Consider the following 12333-nt stretch of genomic DNA (forward strand, 5'->3'; position numbering starts at 1 on the left):
TGGTAGATACTTTGTCTCTAGTGTGTCCCAGACATTTCCTGACCACATTTCTTTATGCTGAACTGAAAATCTTGTGATCTTGTTTCAAGATTGCATTGATTTGCATCTATCTCCTATCCCCCACTCCAACCCATTTGCTTATTTCCATAGTTTCTGTAGGCAGGTTTTCTCTTGCTAGTTATCTTGCCACCTTTGCCTCCTAAAGAGCCCTTAAATTGGCTTCCGGGCAGCAATCTATCCTTTTCTTTCTGGAAAATAGCCCAACCCCTGCAGCCTACCTCTCCTACCAGCCTCAGACTGCACTCACCTTCCCCCACTGTCCACAGCAGGAAGGACAGATGACAGGAGGAGGCTCACTTTTGCTGCCATTGCAAAAACCTCGAGCAGCAGCTGCTTTGTCACTCAATTCAGAAGCTCCTTCCTGGTGTGAAAGGTATTTTGCAATTATGCATAGTTACTCACAGTTACCCATTAACAGAAACCTTTCAGCTCCTTGCCAGCTTCATCTTAAATGCTTTTTCCTTTCTCCCTTCAGAAGTCTTTATAAGCATACGGTATTTAGGAAGGTCTCCTTTGCCAATATATACAGTATTATATAAATTACAACATGGAGTGACTAACTAGTGGCTCTCCCTCTAAGGATTTTACCACCGAATCCAAATATATTTCACTGATTGCATCTAGGCAGCTATAGGAGTGTTTTATAGGTTGCTTTTTTTTTCCCCCAGGGGGAAGTGGCTGGAAGGTGGCACAGGATATGTTCTCTCTTAAATCATATTACCACTCAACCAAGGATACATCTATTGTGTATCCAGCCTCCCACCTCCTTTCCTTCAATGGGAGGATTGGTAAGAGCTTAAAGCTGAGGCCCCTCTGGAGACCCCTAGGTTCGTAACCAAAAGGGACCAGGATGGATGGGGTTTCCCACTTATGATAATAATACCAACAATAACAACTATGATATGAGTGCCTGCCAGATACTAGGCACTGTGCTAGCACTTAACATACGTTATCTACTTTAATCTTCCTAATAGCCCTTAGAATATACATAATTATCTCTGTTCTACAGGTGGAAAAAAAATGAGACTTTTGAACATAAAGACTCTTAGTTAAGTTTGCATATTTCATGGTAGAGCCAAGACGCCAACCCAAATCTGTCTGATTTTAAAGCTACCACCCACCTACCCTGGATATTGGTTCGGAGTCAACTAGGGCCCTAAAACTAGTGAACATGGTGCCCCACCCTTTCCTGAAGCCTGGCATTTGTGGCCTGGGAACTGATGGGAGAGTATGAACATCTGAGGGCGGGCAAGTTTCTCCAAGGCCCTCCCTCAGATGGGGGAAGATGGGGAATCAAAGGTTCTCATTTTCCCTCCAACCACCTCCAGCAGTGTCATCCCAAACACGCCTGATTCTGCTGTATGTAATTAACGAGGAATGACTGCCCAGCCATTTGATTTCTAATTGCCACATAACATGAAAGTGACAATGCAGATGATTACATGTGTCAGATGAACTTGGTTGTAAGTTTTATTTAAACACTAAATTCTTTGGCTGTGCACTCAGCCTTTGTATTACTCACGTAGCAAGGTTGTCGGCTCTTCATTTAAAGAGGAAGAGATGGCAGGGGTGCCGTCAACTGTTCTGATGAGAGCAGGTCCTTCCTGGCTCTCCCTGTGTGCCAGGCCTTGGACCCTGGGCTCCTTGGTGGGGTGAGGGTGGTTAGGGAGGGTGGCACTGGAGCAGAGTAGACCATGGCAGGTTAGTGCTTATGGACCAGGTAAACCTCTTCCCAGGAGGGACGTGAATCTGCACAGCTTGTGGTCTCCCTACTCCCATGGAATCAAGGAGAACTTCCTGGGGAAAATGGGATGTTTTGAAGAATCTGTTGAATGAAAGAGTGAAGAAGATGATCTGGGATATTAGAAATGATAATATTTCTCTGAATAAAGGTTTTACACACAAAATATGGGCACCACATAACCTGATCAGAGCTGAAACTTAGCCATCCATGATATTTACATCCTGCCCACTGTTCAAAACCAGGAATCCCTTTTTGCGGGCTTTTCATTCAAGGGAAGAGGCTCAGATATCACACAGTTATCACTGACACCCGCCCCCATCGAAAATAATTATTCAGGGATTCTGAGAGCCAACGTAATTAGTCCAATTAATCTCTAGCGATGAATTATTCTGTCCGATAATCGTCTTCGGAAGCAAAGGATTCATTAGCGTCTCTGGCTGACAGCAGGGAGTCAAATGTCCTTTTATCTCTCTTCCCTGTCCCTGATATGATAGAATGAAATTGGCTCTCACTTTGATAAATTCTGTCTCTATTGAAAAGGAGGTTGGTTAGGGCAGCAGCAGAGGCTGGGACCTAGGTTACTAGACGTGTTGCCTGCTCCACATGCACTGCTGACCTTGAGTTTAAGGCCTCAGTTTATCCCATGGAAACATGGGGAGACTTGAGTGCAAGCTTTGTGATCAGTTATCAAATTAACCAGGTACCTTCATGGGCTTCCAAGAGGCAGTTAATCCCAGCACACACCCTGGAAGAACATGCCCTTCTCTGCTGAGCATTCTCAACGAATTCTAAAGAAGTCCTCCACCTTTTTGTAGGAACTTACTTTACATAATTTAGTCATATTGAAGGCACTAAGTGATGAGTAGAACCCAAGGTGCCTATTGAGGTGCCCATCAAAATTCCAACTTTTACTGCACAAATTATAGGATACGAATCCAATTATGAATCCAAATGTATTTCACTGATTGCATCTAGGCCGCTACAGGACAGTTTTATAGGTTGCTTCTTTTTTCCCAGGGGGAAGTAGCTGGAAGGTGGGACAGGATATATTCTCTCTTAAATCATGTCACCACTCAACCAAGGATACATCCATTGTGTATCCAGGCCCCAGCTCCTTTCCTTCAATGAGGTGGAGGATTGGTAACAGCTTAAAGCTGAGGCCCCTCCAGAGACTCCTAGGTTCATAAGCAAAAGGGACAGGATGGACAGGCTTTCCTACTTACAAGAGTAGCATTCTTGCCTGTTCTGGGGGTTGTTTTTAATTGTCTTGCTGGAGCACATATACCCTTTCCTTATGGTACATAAGCCCTGACTCTAGGGGTAACACATATGGAGATCTACCTGTCCTGTGGCCGCCCAAGACCACGCTTCTGTTTGTACCTTCCCCTAATAAAGCACCTTTTATTAAATACAACAACAACAAAATCTCAACCTAAGCTTTGAGAGAGATGTGCGATTGGGGGAGTGCGGTGGAAGCTCTCCTAGGGGCCTCAGAGCAGCTGGGTTGGAGATTCTGCTCCCCAGAGTGTGTCTATTTCCTCCATGGCCTGTCTGTGGCAGAGTGCTGGCTATTTCCTCCGTGGCCTGTCCGTGGCAGAGTGTGTCTGGTTCCTCCGTGGCCTGTCTGTGGCAGAATGCTGGCTATTTCCTCCGTGGCCTGTCCATGCAGTGTGTGTCTGTTTCCTCTGTGGCCTATATGTGGCAGAATGTGTCTATTTCCTCCATGGCCTGTCTGTGGCAGAGTGCTGGCTATTTCCTCTCTGGCCTGTCCGTGGCAGAGTATGTCTATTTCCTCTCTGGCCTGTCCGTGGCAGAGTATGTCTATTTCCTCTCTGGCCTGTCTGTGGCAGAGTGCTGGCTATTTCCTCTCTGGCCTGTCCGTGGCAGAGTATGTCTATTTCCTCTCTGGCCTGTCCGTGGCAGAGTATGTCTATTTCCTCTCTGGCCTGTCTGTGGCAGAATGCTGGCTATTTCCTCCGTGGCCTGTCCATGCAGTGTGTGTCTGTTTCCTCTGTGGCCTATATGTGGCAGAATGTGTCTATTTCCTCCATGGCCTGTCTGTGGCAGAGTGCTGGCTATTTCCTCTCTGGCCTGTCCGTGGCAGAGTATGTCTATTTCCTCTCTGGCCTGTCCGTGGCAGAGTATGTCTATTTCCTCTCTGGCCTGTCTGTGGCAGAGTGCTGGCTATTTCCTCCATGGCCTGTCCGTGGCAGAGTGCTGGCTGTTTCCTCCATGGCCTGTCTGTGGCAGTGTGTGTCTGTTTCCTCTGTGGCTCGTCTGTGGCAGAATGTGTCTATTTCCTCTGTGGCCTGTCTGTGGCAGAGCGCTGGCTATTTCCTCCGTGGCCTGTCCGTGGCAGTGTGTGTGTCTGTTTCCTCCTTGGCCTGTCCGTGGCAGAGTGCTGGCTATTTCCTCCGTGGCCTGTCCGTGGCAGTGTGTGTGTCTGTTTCCTCCGTGGCCTGTCCATGGCAGAGTGCTGGGCTCCAGGTCAGCAGGTCTTTGCTTTCCTGGTCTCAGGCTCTCTTCCCCAGGAAAATGAACATTACACATGGGTACGAGATTTTGCATATCACTTCAGTGAGTTTCTAGACCCTCTGTTAACCCTCTAGACCCTCTGCATGAATAACTCCAGATATTATAATACATTGATCCTGTTCTTGAGGAACTTAAAATCCAGGAAGTGAAGCTTGGGGAGGGGGAGTTGTTAATGTTAACGGTTCAGCACAACAGAAAGGAGGTGGTGTGATAATGGAGTGGGTCTTAATGGCATTTTGGGTCAGTTAATTCTTTGCTATAGAGGGCTGTCCTGGGCATTGTAAGATGTTCAGCAGCATCCCTGCCCTCTACTCACTAGATGCCAGTAACACCCCCTCCCAAGTCATGAAAGTCAAAAATGTCTCCAGACATCACCAAATGTCCCCTGAGGGGCAACATCTCTGTTGAGAACCACTATAATAGAGGCACCGTAGTATGCTGAGCCTCAGCGGAAGGTGTGGTCATTTCTGGGTGGAAGGACCAGAGAAGCCTCCCTGGAAGAAGTGGTCTGAGGTTTAGGAAGCAAACCAAAAGGCAGACTTTTTTATTTTGTTTTGGTCAGCTTTTTATCCCTAGAGTCTAATATGGTGTTTGGCACATAGAAAGTGCAGAGAATGCTCATCAAGTACGTAAACAAACAAATGAATGAGGAAGGGTTGAACATGCAGAAAATGGAAAGGGAAATGCATTCCAGATTAAAGGACTAGCATCAGCAAAAGCTCAGAGGTGGAATGAACAGGTGTCTCTAGGGAATCACAGGCAGCCCAGTCCCTGTTCCATGGATAAGGAACAGAATAGCGGCTTGTATGACCCTGGCTTAGGACGCCGTGGAATCGCCTTTTCTGGAGATGCTTAAGAAAAGTTCTGCCTGAAGGAAAGGAAAAGGAGTGGTTTATAGAACTGCCCACTAATTGATCACAACTCCGTCCTGATAAACATGGCCATGGTCTTGGAATATTTCTCAACACAGCCCTCTAAGAAGTTACTACCAGTCATTTGGAGTTGGAATGCCAGTTGCACCTGTTTAACTCCCTGACTGTGGTCTAGAGACCTCATGTCAGAACTGGGGGCTGCTGTTCTGCTTGAAGCCAGCCCAGAAAGGGAGGCATTAGCCTCTCTTGGTCATTCTTCACGCTTTGTGTGTGGCTCCATTTTCCAGGCCATATCTCTTTTCCCTTTACCCTGCCCCATTCCTTCTCTGCTGTTGAGCTGCCTTGTGGCTGAGTTCTCGTCTCCCTGCTGTCTCACCCGTTATTCAACGAGCCTGTGTTATGTGCCCTGGAGATACAGCCATGGACACACCAGAGTTGCTGCTTGTCAGGTGTGGATATAGAGAAGCAGGCAGGCAATTACATTACAACGTGGTGAATGCTGAGTTGTGGGTAACAGAGGCTGCTGTAGGGCAGAGCAGTGTCACCTAACAGCTGGTTGAGGAAGGCTTTGGGACCTTTTTAGGAAAAGACCCACTGAAAGTAGGGTGCTCAGGTGGAGTGACAGATAGCTCCAGTTTATAAATCTGGAATGGTGAGTTTTACTGTAGTTTTTTCAATGTGTGTTAAAGAGTTGTGTGTCCAGTAAAATATATATGTCTGCCTTTCCAGGGAAAATCACTGTGACTCCTTGGTAACAGGAGTTTGTAATGGTCTGGAAAATGCAGGAAAATCTTTAGAGTGAGTTCCTGGTCTCCATTAAAAGCATTTATGGTGTCTGGGGAGCCATTTCCCCCTGATTTGTGTCTGACAGGGGAGCACTGAGGCTGAGATATCAGGGAGGAAGACAAAGGCTCACATATGTGACAAGTCAGGTGTTCACTGGGAACACGGCATGGAACAGGGCTATCTCTAAGTCTGTCTGTAGGTAGGATCAGAGGCAGAGCCCTGCAGTGGGCACCTACAGAGAGAGAAGAATGAAAAGCATGGCCTGTGCCTCCAGGGAGTCAAGCCAGACACTTACCAAATCAGGAGAAACTGGCAGAGATAGTAGCTGCTGGTATTTGAGAGGCAGAAGGCAAGAGTTGAGACAATAAGCCAATAGGGAAGTGGGGTGAGAGGGATTGCATGAGATTTCCCAAAGGAAGTGAGCTGTAGAGATGGGATGGAATGGGATGGCAGGGCAGGAGAGAGAAGGCTATAGGGTGGCAAATGGAGACATGAGGCTGCCTCCCTGTCCATCTCTTAACCAGAGGACTGGGAGGCGGGACAAGTATGGCAGGTGAGTGGGTGGAGGAGGTGCCATCTGACTATGTGCCCAGGGGATGCATTTGTTTAGCAGGCCTTTATGGAAGGCCTACAACATATCAGGCACTGTGCCAGGTGCTAGGCATTCAAAGATAAATAGCATATGGCCTTTGCCCTGAAGGCAGATGGATGTGTAAAGAGGTGTGGGTGATCAAGTGATACGCAGGCTGTGGTAGAAGTCTGTTACAGGCTGCAGCAGGGACCCTAAGGAAGGAATAGTGATTTCTACCAAGAGGAGGGGCCAGATGAAAGGCAGCCTGCATTCTCCATGGGAGGAGGCTGAATGGAGGCTGCTCACTCACCATCACTCGGGCAGCATTTCCTGGGCAGCTGCTGTGTGCTGCCCAGTGCTGCGAGGGTGTGGATGGAGCTACATAAGGGATGTAGTGTCTAGTGGAGGAGACAAGACCAGCAGGCAAAAGGAGTTGTCACTGCAAAGGCAGTATGTGATCGTTGATGAGAGGGGCTCAGAGATCAAATGTTCCAGAGCTTGAAGGGGAGTGATCTCTGGAGTGGCCAAGGAAGGCTTCTTGGAGGAGGTATGACTGGAATTGGGCATTGAGGGCTGGGGAGAAGTGCCCCAGCAGGGACGGTCTTTTAGATGGAAGCCGTAGGAGGGATGGAGGAAGCAAAGATGCAGCCAGGCATCGGCCTGAATGGGCAGGAGTATGTGGGACACTCATGGAAGATCAGGCCAAAAATGTCTGTAGAGGGTCTTGTATGTCAGGTCAAGGACTCAAATGCCATCTGAGAGATGCTGAAGTCTCATGGTGCAGAGACTCAAGTTTGCATGGATAAGATGTGCTTTTAGACACCTTGGGGGCTGGGGGCTGGGGGCAGGACCTGTCTGAAGCCATCTCAGCCATCCCCCGGCCTCCAGCCAGGGCTTGGTGCTCCTGTACAAAATTCTGTCTCCACAGTGTGTCCCCCAGTTTGGCTTCCTGGTGGGGGAGGGGACACACACAGACATCAATTCAGTCAAGACTCTGCTCACGCCTGTCCCCAGGAGCAAAGCCTTGGCCCGCTGTTCCCATGGCAACCGCCAGTCAGTGCTGAGCAAAGGAGGGTGCCAGAACACGGAGAGCTGGAGGGGACCAGCAGCCCCCTAGTCATCACAGTCATCACTGAGAACTCCCCCAGTTGGGGTGTAGAGGCATAGGGGAAGTCAAAGCAATGGCTGGGAAACCTTGAGGGCAAAGGGACTCCCTTTGTTCTTTGAAGGAGGGAAAGGAAGTGCTGAATGGAGCCAGGCAGCTGATTTCCCATCGCTTCTCTCATCCCTCCTTCTGAGCCTAGGGTGCCCCCTTTGCGTCCTCTGGCTCATTAAAGATAGATGACCCTGGGGAGGGTGAGGGCCGGGGTCACCAGCTGCTGGGGCTTCTTGCCCTGAGTTAGGCTGGGGATCATTTGCAGGGAGAATGCAGCCAGGACCACCAGCCCTGGCTGCAGAGGGAGGAGGGTAAGTCTGGGAAGCTGGCCCCAGTGGGTGATCAGCAACATGTCCCTAAGAATAGGTACATGCTATTGACAAAGATGAGAAGTGAACCGGGAGCCGTAAATAGCCAGGAGCCTGTGTTCTCTGGGCTCTGTGTTCTGTCGGTTGCTTATTCATTGAAAGTCAGGGATGGGCGAGATGCAGTCTCCAGAGTGACGCAGTGGGACGAGCCCTGGAGCTGGAGACAGAGAAGCTGGGTTCTAATCCCAGCCCTGCTGCTTTGTAACTGAGACCTAAATCAAATTGCTTATCAGTCTCTTCAGCTGCCAAACGAACCAAGAAGCTGCCTCACAGGATTACTGAAAGGCTCACACAGCAGGAGGAATGTGAAAGAAGCTGGCACACAGTAGGCATTTGCCTCCTTGCTTCCAAATGTAGAGGGACAGTAGAGATCGTCTGCCAAAAGGGTTCATATATCCAAAAGGCAGGGTTGGCCAGACCCTGAGTGCTCATGTCGCTTGTCCACTGCCTCCTCTGGAGAGCCTCTGGCTAAGCCTAGCTTTGGCCCAGCTCTTAAGTTGCCCCGGGACCAGCCTCTTCCATGCTCAGGCCTCTTGGCCCCCCTGGATGGGCTCAGGGCAAAAGGTGAACAGCAAATGCCATCAGGCTTTTCCCTGTGTACCCAGAGCCATGCTCTCCCCATGCCTGCTCCTCCACCGAGGGCTCTCTTAACAGCTTTCTCCTCTCCGGGCCCTTAGCTTAGGGCCTCACTTCACCTTTGCCCTGTGTATAGTTCCGGGTTCAAGCTGAACTTTATTCAGCACACGAGGTGGGGGCTTCCTCCTGTCACCCCACCTCTGCCCTTGTCCGAGGGCTCCAGCCATGCTGGGTTCTTCCCAGAACTCCAACACATTTGACCAGCCAGGGGGAAAAGGGGGTATGGGGAAGGCACTGGGGCTCTGTCCTGGAAAGATGTGTTGTCGCTGAACTCAGGTGCAGCTTTGTAGCTTGGCAGACCTGGAAAATCTCTCTAAGGCATGTTTGTTTCCTGGGAATTTGGCTCTATTTACTTGGGGACCAATCCGAAGGTGCCTGGTGACTGCAGCATGGTGCCTGGGCCACCGTGGGCTGGATGCAGGCCCTGGAGGGCTTGGGCAAGGGCTGAGAGAAGGCCTGGCTGCCTCCCAGGCATTCCCTGACCTCCACTCCATTGCCTCTTCTTGTACCTTCCTGGTCTCACTTTGATAGGGGTCCAAAGGCTCCCCAGAGCAGTCCCAGGCCTGAGACCCCACCCTGCCACCACCCCGGCAGGAGCTCCGGCTGCACCGCTGGTTCTGGAGAAGGCCCAGCACATCTCCTCCTGCTCATTCCCTTTGCTTTCCTCTTCGTATCCCTGCCCTACTCTCAGGAGAGCAGAAATGGGGCTGATTCCTTCTCTAAGAAGGAGAAACTGAAGCCCACAAAGGCTGAGCGGCTTGCTCCTGGGCATCGGAAGAAGCGGGGACTGGAATCCAGGGGTCTCTGCATCCAGCCTTGCACTTCCCTTCCAGATACATGGGGGCCAGGTAGTGGGGACAGGGCAGACTCAGGGAGTGGGAGTGGGAGCCTCCAGTCCCACACATGTGTTACCCATGAAGGAGAGGGTGGGGTTGGGAGAGGATGGGAGCAGGAGAGGGTGGGAGCGGGAGAGGGAGTGGCCCTGAAGCTCTGCTTTTGGCTGCAGCTGGTTCCCAGGCTCCTGCATTGGAATCGGGCGGAAGAGGAGGATTCTGAATGATCTGATTAGGCAGTCGAGAGCAGCCATGGATCTTGGCAAGCAGGCGACACAACCTGCCTGCCAGACGCTCTAGGAAGGTTCTTCCGAGGCCAGAAGCTTTACAGGTTTCAGAGCTGGGACAAAGCCCAGTGAGGAGAAAGGGCTCCCTCGAGGAAGCATTGGACAGGAGCAGTGACTGCCAGTGAGGCCTGGACTGGCTGGCAGCCCGATGTCTTGGAGGTGGAGAAATGCTTGGCCTGGCTGGTGGCCCATGACTCCCTGTCTTCTGGCAGTTCTGTATCTCATTCATTGCCTGCAGTGGAGGACAGGCTTCATTCTGTGAGCTGTGAGGAGCGTGATTCCAGCATGAGTCAGGAAGGGCCTCCTGGCGTCCGCCTCTGTTGTCTTTTTGGTCATGTATCATTCATTTTGGAAAAAGCACGGACTTCAGAGAAGACTGGGATTCAGATCCCTACCCTACAAGCCGTGTGACCTTAGGAAGTTAACTGACCTCTCTGAGCCAAACATCTATAAAATCGGAGTACTCATACTTACCTCAGCCGCTGCATTGCAAGGACAGAATACATATTCGTGTTTCGCACCATGCCTGGCGCACACTCGGGAAATACTGTCTTTTTTCCTTTTCCTTCCCTTCTTGCCTCAGAACATTGCCTGCTTTTCTCACCTTCTGATGCTCACTAAACAAAAAATTTTTTTAAATGCAAAAACTCTTCAGCACATCTTATTAAGTCTCACTGTAGGAATTCTCTGCCTTCTTAATTGGAAGTCTCCCTTAAAGCTAACCTAGCTCCTTCTTGTTTCAATTGATACCCAAGCCCTGGAGGGAGTTCCGGGGCCTTAGTCTAAGCCGAGTCCTTTTGGTGAGCAGTGGAACCATCCTGGAAATGGGGGGGCATGTTGGTGGCAGATGGGCCGAGTCACAGGGTCCCCAGTGGTGGGCAGTAGAGGGGTGAAGGGATCAGTGACACAGCAGGCTTTTCCAGAAATAAGAACCCTCCAGGGAGGCAGCCAGGCAGGGTGGATGTCAGCTTTTTGATGGAGGAGCAGATGCTGTGCAGGCTGAAGTGGGGCAGGGGAAGAGGGAGGTGTGAACGGCAGAGGGAGCATCGCCTTCTGGGCAGCCCTACCTTGCTCATACCTTGCCCCCAGCTTTCTCTCTCATAATCCTCCTCAAAGCTCAACCTTTTCCTCTTTATCCTCAAGCCTGGCTCTGAGATCAGCAGGCTGTGTCGTCTTGAGCAAGTCACTGCTATTCCAGTGCGCCTCAGTCTCCTCATCTGTGAAATGACCTCTGAGGCTTGTGCCAGCTCTGACTTTTGATGAGTTTTAACATTCAGCCTCTTCTGGGCTTGCAGCAGGGCTGTCTATACTGGTCCATACACAGGCTGGCCAGACCTTATGCCAGCAGCCCAGTCACCCTGCCATATCTGCTTTGTCTCCCATTCCATCCCATTCCCATCCCCAAACCACACCTCTTCTCCTACGGTGTCACTTTAAAACAATGTGTGGAGCACCCACTGTGTTTGAGGTGTCAGAATGGGATTTGGAATGAATATGCCAGGTCTCTGCCCTTCAGGAGGAGAAAGACATGAAATCTAAACAACAGCTCAGCTGTTATTTCATTTTATAGGTGAGAGAACTGAGGCCCAGACATTGAATACCTTGCCCAAGGTCACAGGGCATTGAATACCTTGCCCAAGGTCACAGTGGTAAAGCTGGGATTTGACAAAGACTCTCTAGCTCCGTGTCCTGTGGCCTCTCGTCGTCTGATGCCCAGAGCCAGTCCTTCCTCTCTTGTGGCTCAGCCTTTGCATAGGCTGTATCCTTCCTGAACCTGAGACTTGCCCTGTTGCCTGTGGTCAGATTCATTCTTTCCCTTCCTTTGGTTTCAGATCAGTGGTCACCTCTTCCAGGACCTCCCCTGTGACTCCTCTAACCCACCCACCTTATCACTTTTCTAGTCAGTCCCCAACAGAAGCTCTGGCCCCCATGCACGGATGATGCCTGACCACAGCTGCACATGCCAACCTCTTGGCTGCAAGCTCCCTGAGGGCAGCCCCTATTGTATGGGTGGACTCAGAACCCTCAAGACAGTGGCTAAGTGGAAGCCAGTGGCTGCTGGTCAGGGCACAGCCCGGCATGATCTGGTGGATAATCAGTGCTTCAGAGGCGGTGATGTTCACTCATTTGATGTGTCTCCCATTTGAAATGCAGCCACTTCCAAGGGAATCACGTGGGATTCACATCCTACATAGAAGACTGCAAAGGCCTGGTTTGGAGAACTCAGGAAAGGTCTGTAGCCAGGAGACCTGACCCCTTGAGTTCTGGTGCAGGCAGGAGTGTGATAGGCAGAACTACTCCCATCACAACAGTGGCATCTTCAGATAAGGTGCCTTTTGTCACTTGGCCACTGGTAGGTTCTGCGAAAGGAAGTGATGTCAGGGATTTAGGGACAGGCCTGGGGGTGGAGGGCTGCACAGGAGTGGGAGTGGGCAGGTGGGTGAAGTCAAATGACAAAAGCCTGCCCTTACCTTTGCTACTGGTT

The 12333-nt window shown here is 50.5% G+C and overlaps 1 protein-coding gene and 1 long non-coding RNA gene across 5 annotated transcripts in view, besides 1 other annotated feature; one reads left to right on the plus strand and one right to left on the minus strand.

Annotated features, from left to right (window-relative positions):
* The window catches only part of NAV1 (neuron navigator 1), a 287843-nt gene that overhangs the window by 147402 nt on the left and 128108 nt on the right, over window positions 1-12333 (plus strand). The window lies entirely within an intron of this gene.
* Window positions 1728-12333, minus strand: part of IPO9-AS1 (IPO9 antisense RNA 1) — a 141304-nt gene continuing 130698 nt past the window's right edge. Inside the window, exon 3 of the long non-coding RNA NR_046696.1 lies at window positions 1728-1885. This is a non-coding gene — a long non-coding RNA (IPO9 antisense RNA 1). The remainder of the gene's footprint in view (window positions 1886-12333) is intronic.
* Window positions 3716-4216: an enhancer, noted in NCBI's record as "H3K4me1 hESC enhancer chr1:201659372-201659872 (GRCh37/hg19 assembly coordinates)". NCBI's record gives its function as "activates a minimal SCP1, AML or CMV promoter by ChIP-STARR-seq in primed H9 embryonic stem cells {active_cell/tissue: H9 hESC(primed)}" and the evidence as "EXISTENCE:reporter gene assay evidence [ECO:0000049][PMID:30033119]".

Source organism: Homo sapiens, chromosome 1 (assembly GCF_000001405.40).
Source record: "Homo sapiens chromosome 1, GRCh38.p14 Primary Assembly".
Lineage (NCBI taxonomy): Eukaryota > Metazoa > Chordata > Mammalia > Primates > Hominidae > Homo > Homo sapiens.